This window comes from Homo sapiens, chromosome 12 (genome assembly GCF_000001405.40).
Source record: "Homo sapiens chromosome 12, GRCh38.p14 Primary Assembly".
In the NCBI taxonomy this organism is placed as follows: Eukaryota; Metazoa; Chordata; class Mammalia; order Primates; family Hominidae; genus Homo; species Homo sapiens.
The window spans coordinates 93,319,060-93,340,046 of NC_000012.12; the positions used below are offsets into that span (position 1 = coordinate 93,319,060).

The window sequence follows — 20,987 nt, forward strand, 5'->3', positions numbered from 1 at the left end:
CTATTAACTGTTTACACAGTAAGCACAATTTTCTATTCTCTCTTTCTCTCTCACTGGTTTCAAAGCAGCCAAAAGCTTTGAGCCCCCCAGCAACCCTCCCAAATAAGTTTTCCATAAAAAGAGATTTCCACAACCCCTCAATAAATTTTCTGGCTGCCTTCCAGAGCCCACAGATAATCCAATCCACCCTCTTGGTTTCACAGGGAAGAAGCTGCAGTGTAGAGAGGTGAGATTTGTCCAAGGTCACACAGAAAGAAAGAGGGCTGGAAAACAGAGGACTCCAACAATACTCATTCCTTCTCTGATTTGTGTCCTCTGGTGCCCGGCTGCAGCTTTGGAATAATGAAGTCCCACCTTCCAGCCTACATACATATTGTGCATTCTGGTCACACACCCATTTTGCTGCTGAAGAGATGATGAAACTGGCTGAAATTATAATTTGATTCTCCAAACACAGAGACCTTTTCAGTTGACCCTAGAGATGAGCCCTAACTATACTTTGAATCAACAAATATCAATTTTCGCAGCAATGAAATAAATATATGGAGAGATAGTTATAGTTACAGTGGGTTATAAAACAGGGCAAGGGAAAGCTGTGACTATTTATTTGGCTCTGCTCCTAGCAATGAAGTATTTATCCATCAGCTATGTGGCAGTGACATTTTTTATATGAAGGGCAAGTTTGAATTAATAACTAAAGAGACCGTTTTTAAAAATAGATCATCAGTGTAGCAACCCAAAAATGTATCCAATAAAGTGCTTCACTAGCAATATTGCAAAACATGAGGAGGAAAAAAACTCTCTCCAATTAAATTCTCACTCACCAGTGCTTTCGTGGTGGAACAACCACAACAGCATGAAGGTTAACTGCCTTGGCATAAAAGAGGAGACGGAGTAACAGGATTTGTCAAGTAGATCGTGGCATCAGCTTAACATTTGTGGGAGTTAAATGTATGCATGAACAGTTGTAATGCTGAGTTCCATTAAAAAATATGATGGTGAAATGGCCTGGAGTGAAGCATTATTATTTATTATGAACTAAAACGGACTATTTGTTTGTGATATATCTTAAAAGTACTGAGTGCCTTGAAATCACTAGAAGGGTTCATTACCTCTGTATCCCATCAATAACCAAAAATCTTGTCCTAGGAGTCAAAACTGAAGGAGATTCCAGATGGCATAAAGCACAAGAAAACTGGTTCCTATTTAGCAGTGGGTAAAGAAGTTGTGAAATCCTTCAGGACTCCACTTAAACTTTGCGGGGTTGAAAGAGGCCCTCCCTGGAACCCATAGTCTAAATTACACTTCTTTGGTATAAGTCACCATATTTCTTTTTTTTTGAGATGGTGTTTCACTCTTGTTGCCCAGGCTGGAGTGCAATGGTGCAATCTTGGCTCACTGCAACCTCCGCCTCCCAGGTTCAAGTGATTCTCCTGCCCCAGCCTCCTAAGTAGATGAGATTACAGGCAAGTGCCACCATGCCTGGCTAATGTTGTATTTTTAGTAGCGACAGAGTTTCACCATGTTGGTCAGGCTGGTCTCCAACTCCAGACCTCAAGTGATCTGCCCTCCTCGGCCTCCCAAAGTGCTGGGATTACAGGTGTGAGCCACCATGCCCAGCGAAGTCACAATATTTCCACATGCGCTGTTTGATTTATTATATTTGTTACACGAAGGTACTTACTACCTGTCTTCTCCACAAAGTCTGTGAACTCTAGCAAGGCAGGTGCCTATGCACCTAACAGCATATTCATCCATTCAAAATGTACCTACAGAGCACCTACTAAGAGTTAGCCAACACAATTCTGCCCTCATATGTTTACATCCAGATAGGGGGACATAGACCATAAACAATTAAACAAGCGAGTTGATTTGCTTTTTTTTTTTTTTTTAGGCAAGGTCTCACTCTATTGGCCAGGCTGAAGTACAGTGGCATGAACATAGTTCAGTGCAACCTCAAATGCCTGGGCTCAAGCAATTCTCCTGCCTCAGCTTTGCAAATACTTGAGACTACAGACTCACCATCACACCCAGCTGATTTTTTTTTTTTTAGATGGAGTCTCACTCTGTCGCCAGGCTGGAGTTCAATGGCACGATCTCGGCTCACTGCAACCTCCACCTCCCGGATTCAAGTGATTCTCCTGCCTCAGCCTCCCAAGCATCTGGGACTACAAGTGCTTGCCACCACACCCAGCTAATTTTTGTGTTTTTAGCAGAGACAGGGTTTCACCATGTTGGCCAGGATGGTCTTGATCTATTGACCTCGTGATCTGCCCGCCTCGGCCTCCCAAAGTACTGGAATTACAGGTGTGAGCCACCATGCCCAGCCACACCCAGCTAATTTTTATATTTTTTTGTAGAGACAGGGTCTCACTATGTTGCCCAGACTGGTCTCAAACTTCTGGCTTCAAACAATCCTCCTGCCTTGGCCTCCCAAAGCATTAGATTACATTTGTGGGCCACCACACCTGGCTTGATTTTAGATAATAATATGGGAGACTGATCAGAGAAGGTTTCCCTGAGGAAATGAGATTAAGGAAACCTGATACTGAAAGTTCTGGGCTGGACATAGCAGCTCACGCCTGTAAGCCCAGCATTTTGGGAGACCGAGGTGGGCAGATCGCTTGAGCTCAGGAGTTCAAGACCAGCCCAGGCAACATGGCGAAACCCTGTCTCTACTAAAAATACAAAAATTAGCCAGGTGTGGTGTTGCATGTCTGTAGTCCCAGCTACTCGGGAGGCTGAGGTGGGAGGATGGCTTGAGCCTGGTAGGCGGAGGTTGTATTGAGCTAAGATCACACCGCTGCACTCCAGCCTTGACAACAGAGTGAGACCCCGTCTCAAAAAATAAAAATAAAAATAAGTTCTGGATAGATATGAGCTGAGAGGAGTGAAAAATAAAAATAAAAGAAAAACAATTTTTTAAAAAGAAGAAAGTTCTGGGTAAGGGGCATTCCAGGCAACCAGAAGAGCAGGTGGAAGGACCCCAAGGTGGAAATAAGTGGCTATGGCTGGAACCTAGTGGGTGAGGAGAAGATGAAGTCAAGGAGGCAGATTGGGGCTGGATTATGTGCTTGGCACAGAGTAAACACTCAGTAAACATATGTTTCATGAACAAGTGAGCCCATATCAGCTATAATTGCAGGCGGAATGTAATTCTTGCTACCCTGGGCAAGACTGCAGGTGACCAAAATACAAAAGTAAAGCGTAGATATTAAGTGTTGTCTCCACAAAAATAACTACATGATGTATATTGCGTTTGTTAATTAGCTAGATTTAACCATTCCATAGTGTATATACACTTCAAAACATCATGCTGTACACAAAAAATACATACAATTTTATCTGTCAATTTAAAGAAATAGTGGTTGTTCTAGGGTTTACAATGTTCATATTTTATGTATCATAGTCTCCCTTCAAAGAATATTACACTACTCCACATGTAGTTTAAGAACCTTATGATAGTATAGTTACAATTCCTCCACCCTTTGGTCTTTTAATCCTCACAATACACTTATTGTATATTTGTTTACACTGCTAAATATCATTGATTGGTTCTTTAAAAATCCTCTGTTAAAAAAAAAAAGGCTGGGAACAGTGTTTCTCATGTCTGTAATCCCTGTAATCCCAGAGTTTTGAGAGGCTGGGGCAAAAGGATTGCTTGAGCCCAGGAGTTCGAGGCTGCAGTGAGCTATGATCGCGCCATTGCACTCCAGCCTGGGCAACAGAGATAGGCTCTGTCTCTGAAAAAAAAAAAAAAAAAAAAAAATAGAGAGAGAGAGAGAGAAAGGTAGAGGCTAGAAACTTGAAATTTCAAGAGAACCACAACAGGTAAATAAGATAAGTCCTGGGGACTCAGAGAAAATGAAAATGAGATATTTAAGGCAGCCTATAATAAACCCCAAATTGCTGCAGAGGAAGTCAGGGCAAGGGAGCTAAATGCAGGCTGACATCATATGGGGCAGGTTCCTGAAGGCAGGATGTGAACTAGGCCTTGAATCACACACAGGAATTTATTGGGCAGAACAAATAAGGAAGGTAGGGCACTCCAGGAAAATCGGTCTTATCACATTATCCCAATGGAACTACCACATTTATTTCTAGGACGTTATGTAAATCCATACTATGCTCATTACACAGAGGGACAATTGATTATATGCATGGAGTATAGAAGTTGGATCAAATTTATTGGCCAGGCACCGTGGCTCACGCCTGTAATCCCAGCACTTTGGGAGACTGAGGCAGGCGAATCACCATGTCAGGAGATCGAGACCATCCTGGCCAACATGGTGAAACCCCATCTCTACTAAAAATACAAAAATTAGCCGGGCATGGTGGTGTGTGCCTGTAGTCCCAGCTACTTGGGAGGCTGAGGCAGGAGAATTGCTTGGCCCGGGAGGTGGAGGTTGCAGTGAGCAGAGATCGTGCCTCTGCTTTCCAGCCTGGCGACAGAGCGAGACTCTGTCAAAAAAAAAAAGAAGTTGGATCAAATTTGTTTTAAGTTTTAGGCTTAAATTGTCTCCCTTGAAATTCATAGACTCCTCATCTAGTGGAGAATTGCCTATCTTCAGCTCATGCATAGTGAAATTGATGAGTTATGGATCTATAAGGGATGTTCTAATTCTCTCATTTGCTGGAAACTCAGTAGCCTGCTATTCTTGTTGTAATGGTTTAGTTCTTTTTAGCACTTTGTTAATCAAACTGTGTTGGAGATTGTGCCAGGGTGATCCAACCTCCTATTATAAGGTCTGTGAGACATGAGTCACAGCACAACCAAGAGGCCTCACCAGAAACTAGGGTAGCATCCTTGACACCACCGTTTCTCTCATGACCCCCAGTCAATCTAACCAGTGAAGTGCTATCAATTCTACCTCTCAAGTAACTCTCAAATCTGTCGTTTTTGCTCCTTGCTTACCACACTGCCTTATTCAGCCCCTTAACATTTCTTACTAAATCCCACCCTTTAATTTCCACCTCACCTCCAGCTATTTTTAAACATTCCTTTCCAATCCCCATAACCTCCCTGTGACTGCTTGAACACTCACCATAATATACATACACACCCTTCACGATTTGCCTACTCTTTCATCCTTGTCTTACTTCATGCCTCCCAAACAGCCCGAGTTCAAGAAAACAGCCATTTATGGTTTCCCCAAAGCCACATGCTGCTGGTAGTCTCCACTCCTTTGTGCTTGCAATTTCCTCTGCCTAGAATTTCTTTGCCCAGCCCTGTGTGGTCTCTTTTATTCGTCCTTTAAGACTCAGCTTGGGCCAGGCATGGTGGCTCACGCCTGTAATCCCAGCATTTTGGGAGGCTGAGGCAGGTGGATCACCTGAGGTCGAGAGTTTGAGAGCAGCCTGGCCAATATTGTGAAACCCCAACTCTACTAAAAATACAAAATTAGCCAGGCGTGGTGGTGCATGCCTGCAGTCACAGCTACTCTAGAGGCTGATGCAGGAGAATCACTTGAACCTGGGAGGTGGAGGTTGCAGTGAGTCGAGATCATGCCACTGCTCTCCAGCCTGGACAACAGAGCAAGATTCCATCTGATTTCTATAAGCAAGATTAGGGGTTTTTCTTAATTTTTTTTTTTATTTTCCGAGACAGTCTTGCTCTACTGCCCAGGCTGGAGTGCAGTGGCATGATCTTAGCTCACTGCAACCTCCGCCTCCTGGGTTCACACTGTTCTCCTGCCTCAGCCTCCTGAATAGCTGGGATTACAGGCGCCCGCCACCACGCCCGGCTAATTTTTGTATTTTTAGTACAGACGGGGTTTCACCATGTTGGCCAGACTGGTCTCAAACTCCTGACCTCATGATCCACCCACCTCAGCCTCCCAAAGTGCTGGGATTACAGGCGTGAGCCACTGTGCCTGGCCAAGATTAGGGGTTTTTCTTCTGTAGGTTCTGCAGCATCCTATTTTAGCATTCCTACATTGCTGTAATTAATACTAGGCATATCCGTCCCACCTGACATGGGTAGGAACCATGTGCCAGCCATATTTTTATCCCTTTTTTTCTCTCTCTCTCTTTTAAGAGGCAAGACCTTGCTCTGTCACCCAGGCTGGAGTACAGTGGCATAATCATAACTCACTGCAGGCTTGAACTCCCATGCTCAAGGGATCTTCCTGCCTTAGCCACCTAAGTAGCTAGAACTACAGGTACGTACCACCACACTCGGCTAATTTTTTTATTTTTGTGTAGAGACAAAGTCTCACTATGTTCCTCAGACAGGTCTCAAACTCCTGGTCTCAAGTGGTCCTCCTGCCTTGGCCTCAAAGAACTCTGGGATTACAGGTGTGGGTCACCCTGCCCAGCCTATTCCCATTCACAGTACACCATCAGTAAATACTTATCAAAGTAATGACCAAGTAAATGCATTTTTATATTTTTAGGACACTATTATACATGCCTAGTCCTTACAACTACTACTAGACCAGGGAATTATTGTTAACATCCCAGGAAAGAAATAAAGTTAGAGTACAGGCTGGGTGCAGTGACCCACACCTGTAATCCCAGCAATTTGGGAAGCTGAGGCAGGAGGATCACTTGAGGCTAGGAATTCGAGACCAGCCTGGGCAACATAGGGAGACCCCTCTCTACAAAAAAATTTAAAAATTAGCTGGACATCATGGCGTGTGCCTCTGGTCCCAGCTATTCGGAAGGCTGAGGTAGGAGGATCACTTGATGCTGGGGGTTTGAGGCTGCAGTGAGCCGTGATCATGCCACTACACTACAGTCTGGATGACAGAGCAAGACTCCATCTCAAAAAAAAAAAAAAATTAGAGTACAAAGAAGCCATCAACCCCACTTCCCGCTAAGAGACTACAAACGCTGAGTTTCATTTGGAACTTTTGCCCCTTGGTTTATGGGGCACAAAAGATGGCCTGGCTCCCTTAAGCCTTCTTTGGCAGTGAATGAATGGTCCTGCTCATGACTATCCCAGCTCCTACAGCCACTGACCAAGAGGCAGTTCCTGACAGCCATCTGGACTTACACCTCACTCCGTGACTCACCTATTCATAAGTGTCTCGGGAACTTTCCTCCGAGTGTGTGTGGTATAGTAACACTCAAGAGAACATAATTCCGAGCATGTGTCATAAACTAACTAGAACAAATTCCTCCCTTTAATTAATTACTTTATTTATTTATTTATTTATTTATTTTTGAGACAGAGTCTCACTCTGTCACCCGGGCTGGAGTGCAGTGGCACAATCTCGGCTCACTGCAACCTCCACCTCCCAGGTTCAAGCGATTCTCCTGCCTCAGCCTCCCGAGTAGTTGGGATTACAGGGGCCCACCACCACGCCTGGCTAATTTTTGTATTTTTAGTAGAGATAGGATTTTACCATGTTGGTCAGGCTGGTCTCAAATACCTAACTTCGTGATCCACCTGCCTCAGCCTCCCAAAGTGCTGGGATTACAGGCATGAGCCACCGCACCCAGACAATGGGACACTTTTTTTTTTTTTTGAGACGGAGTTTCACTCTCGTTGCCCAGGCTGGAGTGCAATGGCACGATCTCGGCTCACTGCAACCTCTACCTCCCAGGTTCAAGCGATTCTCCTGCCTCAGCCTCCCTAGTAGCTGGGATTATAGGCATGTGCCACCATGCCCAGCTAATTTTGTATTTTTAGTAGAGGCGGGGTTTCTGCATGTTGGTCAGGTCGGTCTTGAACTCCTGACCTCAGGTGATCCGCCCACCTTGGCCCCCCAAAGTGCTGAGATTACAGGCATGAGCCACCACGTCCGGCCAATGGGACACTTTTAAGACAGTCTCAAAAGAATCTCTAAGATTTTGGCCAGACTCAGTGGCTCACGCCTGTAATCCCTACACTTTGGGAGGCCAAGGCGGGTGGATGACCTGAGGTCAGGAGTTCAAGACCAGCCTAGCCTACATGACGAAACCCTGTCTCTACTAAAAATACAAAAAATTAACTGGGTGCAGTGGCGTGCGCCTGTAATCCCAGCTACCTGGGAGGCTGAGGCAGGAGAATCACCTCAACTCGGGAGGCGGAGGTTGCAGTGAGCTGAGATCGTGCCACTGCACTCCAGCCTGGGCAACAAGAGCAAAACTCCGTCTCAAAAAAAAAAAAGAATCTATAGGATTTCATCAAAAATTGATGTCCCTGTGACATCTTCTCTCCCAACAAATTAAGAAGGCCCCTAGACTTCTCTAGCTAAACTAAGAGGCTCTAAGGACCAAGCACGAATGACCTCTGAAGTTTTCCTTTCTCACTTTCCTAGCTCTCAGCCCAAATACTAGTTATCAAATGGTACCTGGGTAACTTTCGGAGATATTTTTTGTTTGTTTGTTTGTTTGTTTGTTTTTGAGATGGAGTCTCGCTCTGTCGCCCAGGCTGGAGTGCAGTGGCGCTATCTCGGCTCACTGCAAGCTCCGCCTCCCGGGTTCACGCCATTCTCCTGCCTCAGCCTCCCGAGTAGCTGGGACTACAACAGGTGCCTGCCACCACACCCGGCTAATTTTTTGTATTTTAGTAGAGACGGGGTTTCACCGTGTTAGCCCAGGATGGTCTCAATCTCCTGACCTTGTGATCCACCTGCCTCGGCCTCCCAAAGTACTGGGATTACAGGCATGAGCCACCGCGCCCGGCTTTTTTTTTTTTTTTTTTTTAACTTTCAGAGATATTTAAAGCTTCTAAAGCAAGACTCTTGACACTGCTCTAAGATGAACTTAATCATGATGCACTATTAAAAACAATGTCTGGGTGTGGTCCAGCTTTGGGTTTATAAACATGCTATCTATTTTTCTTCATATTTTTATAAGTAATTCTGCATCATTGCTAAACCATGCAAACGAGCTTTTCATGATTCTTAATGAGCAGCCTCTCAATCACAGCACAAGACATCCTTCATGATAACAAATGTGGAAGGAACTTGTTTCCATCTTGAATACAGATCTTTCTTCTGTCCTAAGGATAGAAAGTGGAAAATCAGAGAAACATACCTTGTGTAATGTCCCATTTATTCTTCTTTCTGAAAGAGAGAAGGTAGGAACTACATTAGATGCATTCTGAGGTTTCCAATTCGGCAATACCAAACAAATGTTACAGGCTAAATTGTGTCACCCAAAATCCATATGTTGAAGTCCTAACCCCAGTACTTCAGAGTGTGACATTATTTGGAGATACGGCCTTTAAACAGTTGATCAAGTTAAAATGACATCCTTCAGGGTGGGTCATAATCCAACCTTACTGCTGTCCTTATAAGAAGAGATCAGGACCCAAACTGGACACAAAGGGAAGACCATGTGAGGACACAGCCAGATGGTGGCAAGCCAAGGAGAGGGGCCTCAGCGGAAACCAGGCCTACGGACACCTTGACCTTCCATTCCAGCCTCCACAACCATCAGAAAATAAATTTCTGTTGTTCAAGCTGACGAGCCTCTGGTATATTGTTATAGCAGCCTGTGGTATCTTGTTATGGCAGCCTGGCAAACTAATACAAAAAATGATTTTTAAATGTTAGAGCAATTTTACAATCCTAGTGCATGATGCATTTTGTTTGTTTGTTTGGGTTTTTGTTTTTTGTTTTGTTTTGTTTTGTTTTATTGAAATAGGGTCTCATTCTGTTGCCCAGGCTGGAGTGCAGTGGCATGATTTCAGCTCACTGCAACCTCTGCCTCCCCAGCTCAGGCGATCCTCTTGCCTCAAGCCTCTTGAGGAGCTGGGACTACAGGTATGTGCCACCATGCTCAGCTACTTTTTAAATTTTTTGTAGCGATGAGGTCTCACTATATTGCCCAGGCCAATCTCAAACTCCTAAACTCAAGCGATCCTCCTGCCTCTGCCTCCCAAAATGCTGGGATTACAGAAGTGAGCCCAGCCATGATGTGTTTTATCTGCCATTTTGGCTAACAATGTTTTGACTCAACATCTATAATACAAATATTTTAAGTAAAATAACACCATTACTAATTAATTTGGGTTAAGAAATAATTTTTGGTGTGAATGCCATTAAGCCAATTTAAATTTTTAGTCCATTTTCTATGGAGAACAATGAAACCATTTTCAGCTTTTTCCATTTTAGGTTTTATTCAGCCGCAGTAACTGTCACTGAATCAATTTTTATGAACATACATTTCATTACAAAGATATGATTCATCAATGAATGTTTTGCCCAACTATAATTATATCAATTGTGGCCTTTTATAATCTTTCTGCTGCAGTTAGTATTTATATTATATGGAAAAATTTATCAAATTTTTCAGGTCAAATTTAACAGGCAAAATTTTACTCTTTGGTCATTTTTTTAAAATAATAGTTGTATTGAGACATAATTCCCTAACCATAAAGTTTATCCTTTTAAAGTGTACAGCTAACTGGTTTTAAGTATATACAAAGGTTTATGCACCCATCACCACTATCAATTTCCAGGATATTTTCTTTTTTCTTTTTTTATTTTTTTTTGAGACAGAGTCTTGCTCTGTTGCCCAGGTTGGAATGCAATGGCGTGATCTCGGCTCACTGCAACCTTCACCCGCTGGGTTCAAGCGATTCTCCTGCCTCAGCCTCCGGAGTAGCTGGGATTACAGGCACGCACCAGCACTCCTGGCTAATTTTTGTATTTTTAGTAGAGATGGGGTTTCACCATATTGGCCAGGCTGGTCTTGAACTCCTGACCTCAAGTGATCCACCCTCCTTGGACTCCCAAAGTGCTGGGATTACAGGCGTGAGCCACTGCACCTGGCCAAATTCCAGAACATTTTCATCATTCTTAAAACATACTTCCCATTTCTCCTTCCATGTCTCCTGGCCTCTGGCAACTACCAATCTACTCTCTATGGACTCACCTATTCTGGGCATTGCACATTCAGTCATGTGTTACTTAACAACAGGGATACCTTCAGAGAAATGTGTCGCCGGGTGGTTTTTGTTGTTGTGTGAACCTCATAGGTGCATTTATACAAACCTAGAAGGAATAGTCTACTGCATACCTAGGCTATTGTAACACAATGGTAAGTATTTGTGTATCTAAACATATCTAAACATAGAAAAGATATAGTGAAAATGGCCGGACATGGTGGCTTACGCCTGTAATCCCAGCAGCTTGGGAGGCCAAGGCAGGTGGATCGCTTGAGGCCAGGAGTTCAAGACCAGCCTGGCCAACATGGCAAAACCCCGTCTCTACTAAAAATACAAAAATTAGCTGGGCATGGTGGCACACACCTGTAATCCCAGCTACTCAGGGGGCTGAGGCAGGAAAATTGCTTGAACCTGGGGGTCGGAGGTTGCAGTGAGCCAAGATTGCGTCACTGCACTCCAGCCTGGGTGACAGAGCAAGACCGTCACAAAAAAAAAAAAAAAGAATTTTTAAAATATTGATAGATGGTTGAAAAACTCAAAAGAGGCATAATATTTTTGTAATTCATGAAAATTATGTAAAATTCAAATTCACTAACTATAAATAAGGTTATATTGGAACATCACCACACTCAGCCACACCTACTCATCTAGGTACCATCTATTACTGCTTTCTCACTGCAGTGACAGAGTTAAGTAGTTGTGACAGAAATCATTTGAGCCACAGAGCCTAAAATATTTACTAGCTGGTTCTTTACAGAAAAAGGTCTATCATACGGCTGAACCAATTCATCTTTATCTTTCAGATCATATGGTATGATGGGCACTAACTGTCCAAATAGTTGGCAGAAAGAGCAAATGGAAGCTACCCAAAGTATGGGTCTCAGGCTGTTGCCAGTTGAACTGTTAGGATCATAATGAGATAAATACAAAAATTGAGAGTAAGCCTTAGAAAGTTATAGAAAATTGACAAAGTAATTTTATGTCTATTTGAATATAATACTTGAAAAATGAGGTTTAGGCCAGGCATGGTGGCTCACGCTTATAATTCCAGCACTTTGGGAGGCTGAGACGGGAGGATCTCTTGAGCTCAGGATTTCGAGACCAGCCTGGATAACATAGTCTCTACCAAAAATACAAAAAATGAACCAGGTATGATGGCATGTACCTGTAGTCCCAGCTACTCAGGAGGCTGAAGTGAGAGAATGGCTTGAGCCTGGGAGGCAGAGGTTGCAATGAGCTGAGATCACGCCATTGCACTCCAGCCTGGGTGACAGAGCAATATCCTGTAGAAAAAGAAAGACAGAAAGAAAGAAAGAAAGAAAGAAAGAAAGAAAGAAAGAAAGAAAGAAAGAAAGAAAGAGAGAGAGAGAGAGAGAGAGAGAGAGAGAGAGAGAGAGAAAGAAAGAAAGAAAGGAAGGAAGGGAGAGAGAAAGAAAAAGAAAAAGAAAGAAAGAAAGAAAAAGAAAGAAAAAGAAAGGGAAAAGTGAAGTTTCTATTTTGTATGTCTTTGGGAGTTTTTAAATTTCATCTTTCTAGCCATTGATTTTTAGACTAATTGAATTTTTAAGACTGACCCTTTAATACAGTTTGAGACACACTGAAATAGAAGATCAGTATCTTTAGAATCAAAGAAGTGGATCTACTAGGACATGAGCATGCTGAGGGCAGGTGCTTCATCTGCCTTGTGCACCTGTTTCCCCAGCACCTGGTACACTATAATAGGTGCTCAATAAACACTGGAAGAATGTACAGATCCAAAACAACTCACTTCTTAACTCTAGTATCATTGTCAAGGATTATCATTTTCTAGGTTTGTTTTTGTTTCTAATTTATTTTCAGACGCAATAGATAGCATAGAAGCTAGCAGCAAGCCTGTGTTCATATCCCAGCTTATTTAATTAATTAATTCATTTATTTTCAAGATGGAGTTTCGCTCTTCCTGCCCAGGCTGGAGTGCAAGGGCACAATCTCGGCTCACTGCAACCTCTGCCTCCCAGGTTCAAGCAATTCTCCTCCTCAACTTCCCAAGTAGCTGGGATTACAGGCGCCTGCCACCACACCTGGCTAATTTTTGTATTTTTAGTAGAGACAGGGTTTTACCATGTTGGCCAAGCTCATCTCGAACTCCTGACCTCAGGTGAGCCGCCTGCCTGGGCCTCCCAAAGTGCTGGGATTACAGGCATGAACCACCGTGCCCGGCCTGAGTCCTAGCCTTTTAAAACAGTCCCTCCAGGTTAAGATCACCAGATATTTTAGCAAATTGTAAGATATCTATTTGCATATGATTTTTCATGAATTCATAAAGTAGTTCTTGTAATTTTTTTTTTTAAACGGAGCCTAGCACGCCCAGGCTGGAGTACAGTGGTGCCATCACAGCTCATTGCAACCTCGACCTCCTCTGCTCAAGCGATTCTACCATCTCAGCCTCCCGAGTAGCTGGGACTACAGTGTGAGCCACCACACCTGACTAATTTTTGTATTTTTTGGAGAGATAGGGTTTCACCTTGTTGCCCAGACTGGTTTTCAACTCCTGGGCTCAAGTGATCCACCTGCCTTGGCCTCCCAAATTGCTGGGATTACAGGCATGAGCCACCATACTCAGCCCATAAATTTGATCAATACAGTCCAAAGACCTAACTTCAGGTATATAAAGTACAGCTCATGAGTTGATGCAAGTAATGTGCAGAAGTTTCCATTCTGACATCCTGCACACAGTTCCACCCCAATCCCAAACAACCTTTACAAAATACAAAATTTTTTCAGAGTGAATCTCCCTAAGTCTGTGGTAGCCCTTTCTTAGGAAGGTCCCCAGGCATTGTGAGGGTGGCAGAAATACTGAGTGGCTGTCCGAGGAATGACCCTCTTTATTCTTACATACTAGCACAATATTCAGGGTTACTGCAAGACATAGCAGAACCAGAAAATGTCTGTGTCTCCATGAATCTTGCTGCCTTGTTGCCTGGCTGTGTTCTTCCTTGAGCCTGGAATAAATCTTTTTTTTTTTTTTTTTTGAGATGGGAGTCTCGCTCTGTCTCCCAGGCTGGAGTGCAATGGCACTATTTCGGCTCACTGCAACCTCCGCCTCCCAGGTTCAAGCGATTCTCCTGCCTCAGCCTCCCAAATAGCTGGGACCACAGGTGCACACCACCATGTCTGGCTAATTTTTGTGTTTTTAGTAGAGATGGGGTTTCGCCATGTTGGCCAGGCTAGTCTCCAACTCCTGGCCTCAAGGGATCCGCCCACCTCAGCCTCCCAAAGTGCTGGGATTACAGGCTTGAGCCACTGCAAGCCTGGAATAAACCTTCCCCCAGTCTCTGCCTACTGAGAACTAGACATCCTTCAAGAACATCTATGTCTTCACCTCACTTATTTATTTATAGTGTCACAGTCACTAAAGTTCCAGGAAGTCACAGAATCATAGCTATGAATGCTAGAAGGAACCATAGAGAGTCGAATCCAGGGACTGCAAACTCAAAGGCCTATAGTAGCTGCACAGGTTATTTGATAGAAAGAAGACTGGCAGGTGGGGGCTGGGGAGAAGAGCAAAGAATAGAGCCATTTAGAGAGGGCAGATACTCAGCTCAAGTGGGCTGTTGCCAACTGGTACATGTGGCCCAATATGCCAGATTTGTTTTAATATATTTTTTAAGTCGACTATTCAGGTTTTCATGAGTTACCACTCTTTATTTTAATTGTGGTAAAATATACATAACATAAAAACTTACCATCTAAGGATTTTTATGTGTCCAGCTGAGAAGTGTTAAATACACTCACATTGCTGTGCAACAATAATTCCCCCTCTTCCCCGCCATCCCTGGCATCCACCATTCCATTTTCTGTTTCTGATTTTAACTATTCTAGGTACCTCATAAAAAATAAATCAGGTCAGGCACAATGGCTCATGCCTGTAATCCTAGCAGTTTGAGAGGCCGGGGTGGGAGGACCACTTGAGCCGAGGGGTTTGAGACCAGCTTGGGCAACACAGCAGACCGCATCTCTACAAAAAAATATATTAATAATAAATTAAAATTGGGTGTGGTGTCATGTGCCTATAGTCCTAACTGCTTTGGAGGCTAAGGCAGGAGGATGACTTGAGGCCAGGATATCAAAGGACATCAAAGCTGCTGCAGTGAGCCATAATCTTATCACAGCACTCCAGAAGAAAGGAAGTGGAATCATACAGAATTTGTCTTTTTATGACTGGCTTATTTCACTCTATGTAATGTCCTCAAGACTCATTCATGTTGTAGCATGTGTCTGAATTTCCTTTTTTTTTTTTTTTTTTGAGACAGGGTCTCACTCTGTCACCCAGGCTGGAGTGCGCTGGCACAATCTCAACTCACTGCAGCCTCGACTTCTGGGGTTTTGACAATCCTCCCACCTCAGCCTCCCAAGTAGCTGGGACCATAGGTATGCTCCATCACTCCTGGCTAATTTTCATATTTTTGGTAGAGACGGTGTTTTGCCATGTTGCCTAGGTTGGTCTCCAACTCCTGACCTCAATTGATCCACCTGCCTCAGCCTCCCAAAGTGCTGGAGTTACAGGCATGAGCCACCATGCCCAGCCTCCATCTTTTTAAGGCTGAATAATATTTTATTGTATATATAGTCCACATTTTTTTCCATTCATCCATCAATAGACTCTTGGTTGCTTCTACCTTTGGCTATGTGAATGATGCTGCTACCAGCATGAGTATACAAATAATGTATCTTTTTTTTTTATTTTGAGACAGAGTTTCACTCTTATTGCCCAAGATGGAGTGCAATGGCACGATCTTGGCTCACAGCAACCTCCGCCTCCCAGGTTCAAGCGATTCTCCTGCCTCAGTCTCCCAAGTAGCTGGGATTATAGGCATGCGCCACCACACCTAGCTAATTTTGTATTTTTAGTAGAGACGGGGTTTCTCCATGTTGGTCAGGCTGGTCTCAAACTCCCAACCTCAGGTGATCCACTCACCTCAGCCTCCCAAAGTGCTAGGATTGCAGAAGTGAGCCACCATGCCTGGCGAAGTATACAAATAATATATCTTTTGAGTTCCTGCTTTCAATTCTTTTGGGCGTATATCCAGAAGTGGAATTGTTGGATCATGTGGTGATTCTATTTTTACTTTTTTTTAGGAACCACCATACTGTTTTCCATAGCAGCTGCACCATTTCACATTAATACTAACAGTACACAGCATTCCAATTTTTCCACATCCTCACCAGCATTTGTTGTTTTTTGTTCTTTTGATAATACCCATCCTAGTGGGTATGAGGCAGTAGTATCTCACTGTGGTTTTGATTTGTATTTCTCTAATGATTAGTGATGTCAAGCATATTTTGATGTGCTTGTTGGCCATTTTTTAAATTAGATTGTTTTACTATTGTTGAGTCCTTTTTTAAATGACGAACACTAGTTTAAATTTTATAAAAACAAAAACAAACAAAAAATGGCCAGGTGCAGTGGCTCACACCTGTAATCCTAGCACTTCGGGAGGCTGAAGTGGGCAGATTGTTTGAGTTCAGGAGTTTGAGACCAGCCTGAGTGACATGGGAAAACCTCATCTCTACAAAAAAATACAAAAATTAGCCAATTTAGTGGCATGCGCCTGTAGTCCCAGCTACTCAGGAGGCTGAGGTGGGAGGATCACTTGAGCCCAGGAGGCAGAGGTTGCAGTGAGCAGAGATCGTGCTACTGCACTCCAGCCTGGGTTACAGAGCAAGACCCTGTCTCAAACAACAACAAAAAACAAACTAACAAAAAAACCGCCGTAACACCATATGGATAAAATACATGATTTCAGGCAGTATACGGCCGGAGACCTCCATTTGGTGACCTCATCTAGGCCCAACAAACTCATCTTCCAAACAGGGAAACCAAAGCCTAGATCATAAAGCCAACAGTTGCACATGGCTATCTGATATCTGAGCCAGCATTAGATCTGAGGTCCTCTAGTGCACAAGGCATTGACACATTTCTTAGAACACTCACCAGAGCCAACGCGTCTGATTTGTAAGGAGTTGCAATTTGCTAAAAATTCGTAACTGGGCTTAATGACTTGTGGGTGAAAGTGCAAAAGTCAGGCAAGGCGCAGTGGCTCGTGCCTGTAGTCCCAGCACTTTGGGAAGTTGAGTGGGTGGATCACTTGAGCTCAGGAGTTTGAGACCAGCCTAGGCAACATGATGAAACCCCATCTCTACCAAAAATACAAAAAATTAGCTGGACATGATGGCACATGCCCATAATCACAGCTACTCAGGATACTGAGGCAAGAGGATCACTTGAGCTCAGGAGGTCGAGGCTTCAGTGAGCCAAGCTGGCGCCACTGCCCTCCAGCCTGGGAGACAGAGAGAGACCCTGTCTAAAGAAAAAAAAAAAAAGAAAGAAAGAAAGAAGGAAAGAAAGTGCAAAAGGCAGCAGCACAAGACAGAGTCAGGAACTTTTTGAAAGGAACTCTCTCTGGCAGCTGCTTCAATCTTCTTTCTCTAGAGGTAGTAAGAGGGGGCTGGAGATCTATTCATTATCTTTTAACAATGGACAAAGAGAAGCCTGTCTGCTGCGTTAGTCATTGCTTGGAGGTCCCCGACTTCTGCTTCCACTACTGCTCTCTACCCCCAAAGTGACTTCTCTTTGATGCTATTTATAAAATGGAATGTGACCCTCCAGCTAGGCAGGGCTGGGGGCATGGGGCGGGGGGGACATGAGTGAGATATTAAAGCCGTATTTCTGCTTGGGTCTGGTATGTGGCTTCTCAAGAGTACATGAGGCAATGAGAAACTGGAATGATTGTTATTTAGGGTATAGCTCTCTAGGGAGGAAAACTGAGCAACTTTCTTGAGAAGGAATAGTGAACATGTGAAGGTGTCCAATTTAGAAAAGGGGATGGGCTTCCTCTTTCTGGGAAAGACTCACCCCTGACTTGTGGATTACTAAGGAATGGAGTATTTCTGCCTCCAACTTGCTGTGCATCCTAAAGTGAGATCCTGTACTTCCTTCTACCTCAATTTCTCTCTTCATAATATTGAGGAAAAGTTACATAAATGCAGGGTTTCCTGCCTTGCTGACTGTGGCACTTAATTACACTAAATAGACATAAGTCGCATATCCGTGCCACCTGCCTTGACTGGTGTCTTCTGCTCAACTGGCCCCTTGACCAACTTCAGCTGCCTTTGGTAGTTCAAGAATTGAGAGTTTGAGGAGACATAAGAGCAACTGTAATAAACTGAGGGACCTCATTCAAACTCATTTGTTGCTAAAGACCATCTTAAAATTTCTGGTCACCTGGAGCAAACCATCAGCCAGCAACTCCCAGATCTGATCATATTTGATGTCGCTGTGAGAAGTGCCACTCCCCACTTCCATCATGGCTGGAGGCTAGGAATGTGCAGGGGAATGTCTAAAGGGGTAGTTGATATTTGAAACTGCATTTGGGGGATCTGGGCCGGGCGCGGTAGCTCACGCCTGTAATCCCAGCACTTTGGGAGGCCGAGGTGGGTGGATCACGAGGTCAGGAGTTCGAGACCAGCCTGGCCAACATGGTGAAACCCCGTCTCTACTAAAAATACAAAAATTAGCTGGGCGTAGAGGCGCGCGCCTGTAATCCCAGATACTCGGGAGGCTGAGGCAGGAGAATCGCTTGAACCCAGGAGGCGGAGGTTGCAGTGAGCCGAGATTGCGCCATTGCACTCCAGCCTAGCGATGGGGCGAGACTGTGTCTCAAAAAAAAAAAAAAAAGAAAAAGAGAAAGAAAATGCATTTGGGGGATCCTCAGAAAAAGCTACTAATTACACCTAACGGCTGGCAACCAGCTGTGTTATCCACATTCTAGGGTTGAGTATCATGACACACCATAGTTTAAGACCATCTGGGCTGGGCACAGTGCCTCACGCCTGTTCTCCCAGCACTTTGGGAGGCCAAGGCAGAAGGATCACTTGAGTCTAGGAGCTGGAGACCAGCCTGGGCAATGTAGGGAGATTCCAGCTCTATAAAAAAATAAAAACAAATTAGCTGGGCATAGTGGCTTATGCCTGTAGTCCCAGCTACTCGAGAGGTCGAGATGAGTTTGAAGACCAGCCTGAGCAACAGAGTGAGATCAAGATGGGATCATAGGCTGTACCTGTCATCGCACCACAGCACTCCAGCCTAGGCAACAGAGCAAGACCCTGTTTCAAGAAAAAAACAAGACCATTTGAATGATGCCTTTTATACCAGGGCTGGAACTTGGGATGCTCAGTTGTCTACTTCTTTAACCTCCAAATTCCATAGTATAAACTCAGGAGAGTAGGTTTAACAAATGTTTGACATAGGCAGTAAATGGCCCAGGGTGGAGCACCACTTATTGAAGAAGTGTGCCCAGGTTTGTGAGTGCATTAATATACATTGCCTGATAACATTATACACTATCTGGATTTAGCCAAAAATGAGGCTTTATTATAATCTCCTATAATCCCCTTTTCAGGGCAAAGGCCATGTCTTACTCATTTTGGTATTCCCAGCACGTATAATAGTATAAGGCCTGGCCCAGAGTAGAGCCTCTCAACCCCTGATTAACTCCTAATCATCCTGCAGTTCATTCACTCAAGTTTGAATGCTGATTGAGTACATATGTGTGCAAGGCAGTGTCGTGGGAACTGGGGGACAGCAGCACAGGACAGCGAGGTCCCTCCCTAAGGTCACTTGCAGCCTACAGGAACTTCACCTCATGCAGGAAGGTTCCCTTTCCCCCCATCCCTCCTGGATGCGCCCTGAAGACCCTGCACCTATCCCAAAACCACACTTACTATACAGCACTATAATTACCTGTATGGATTTCATTAGTACAGGGCTGTGAATTATTAATCCTTGGAACCTCAGAGTCTAGAACGAAGCACAGTTCTCTGTAGATGCTACTCAAATGCTCATTAATCACTGAATCCACACCTCCCTTCTGGCTTCCAAGACAGGAAAAGGAGGCTCAGAGCGGAATATGCAATGCTGCTCTCTTGGCTTATTCCTTGTGCTAACCAGCTGCTTCGTAACTGCCCGCTTACTAACCTGGTTGCCCCACTAGAGTGTAAGTTCCCCAAGATTGAGGGCGGTACCTTATTTACCATTGTATCCCAACATGCAGCACAAGCAGGCGCTCCATAAATGTTTGTTAGATCACTGAATAAACAAGTGAATTATGAATAAAATGAAAGAGGCTTAGATATAAAAATGATGCCCAGTTATACTTATAATGATAGAGCCCTAAAGAGTAAAATAAGACTATTCTGTTTTTGTTTTTGTTTTTGAGACAGGGTCTTGCTCTGCAGCCAGGCTGGAGTGCAGTGGCACAATCATGACTCATTTCAGCCTCAATCTCCTGGGCTCAGGTGATCCTCTCGTCTCAGCCTCCTGAGTAGCTGGGACTACAGACGCGCACTACCACGCCCAGCAAATTAATTTTTTTGGTAGAGATGGGATCTCACTGTGTAGCCCAGGCTGGTCTTGAACTGCCGGGCTTGATCCTCCTGCCTGTGCCTCCCAAATGCTGGGATTACAGACATGAGCCACCAAACCCAGTCTATTCTGATATTTCTAACCTGTTATTGGAGACCCATTAGGTTTGCTTCTTACTTAGAACAAAACCTAACCAACCAGGCACGATGGCTCACACCTGTAATCCCAGCACTTTGGGAGGCCAAGGCGGGCAGATCACCTGAGGTCGGGAGTTCGAGACCAGCCTGACCAACATGGAGAAACCCCATCTCTACTAAAAATGCAAAATTAGCCTGGCGTGGTGATACATACCTGTAATCCCAGCTACTCCGGAGGCTGAGGCAGGAGAATCGCTTGAACCCGGGAGGCAGAGGTTGCAGTGAGCTGAGATGGCGCCATTGCACTCCAGCCTGGGCAACAGGAGCAAAATTCCATCTCAGAAAAAACAGACACACAAAACAGCCTAACCCAAGATAGATAGAAATCTGTCAACAGTTGAACTATTATGGTTTCTATTATCGGATCATGCAATGAAAACACTTTAACCCTTCTTCACTTAACCAACTCACTCAATTAATATAGGTCTCTGTTTCCTCTCTAAAACACACTGACCTGTCACCAGACACCCACTGAAGGGATGCCGCGGGAAGGGTCTTGATTTGCATGTCTGAGTGCTTCTGTTCCTATCTGCTGAACTGTATGCTTTCCAGTTCCAGTGGA

The 20,987-nt window shown here is 44.1% G+C and overlaps 1 long non-coding RNA gene across 1 annotated transcript in view, besides 3 other annotated features; it reads right to left on the reverse strand.

Moving 5' to 3' along the window:
• The window catches only part of LOC643339 (uncharacterized), a 373,979-nt gene that overhangs the window by 315,302 nt on the left and 37,690 nt on the right, over positions 1-20,987 (reverse strand). The window contains exon 2 of the long non-coding RNA NR_040096.1: positions 8,968-8,996. This is a non-coding gene — a long non-coding RNA (uncharacterized LOC643339). The remainder of the gene's footprint in view (positions 1-8,967; positions 8,997-20,987) is intronic.
• Positions 16,372-16,873: an enhancer, noted in NCBI's record as "H3K4me1 hESC enhancer chr12:93729207-93729708 (GRCh37/hg19 assembly coordinates)". NCBI's record gives its function as "activates a minimal SCP1, AML or CMV promoter by ChIP-STARR-seq in primed H9 embryonic stem cells {active_cell/tissue: H9 hESC(primed)}" and the evidence as "EXISTENCE:reporter gene assay evidence [ECO:0000049][PMID:30033119]".
• Positions 16,874-17,373: an enhancer, noted in NCBI's record as "H3K4me1 hESC enhancer chr12:93729709-93730208 (GRCh37/hg19 assembly coordinates)". NCBI's record gives its function as "activates a minimal SCP1, AML or CMV promoter by ChIP-STARR-seq in primed H9 embryonic stem cells {active_cell/tissue: H9 hESC(primed)}" and the evidence as "EXISTENCE:reporter gene assay evidence [ECO:0000049][PMID:30033119]".
• Positions 18,374-18,874: an enhancer, noted in NCBI's record as "H3K4me1 hESC enhancer chr12:93731209-93731709 (GRCh37/hg19 assembly coordinates)". NCBI's record gives its function as "activates a minimal SCP1, AML or CMV promoter by ChIP-STARR-seq in naive H9 embryonic stem cells {active_cell/tissue: H9 hESC(naive)}" and the evidence as "EXISTENCE:reporter gene assay evidence [ECO:0000049][PMID:30033119]".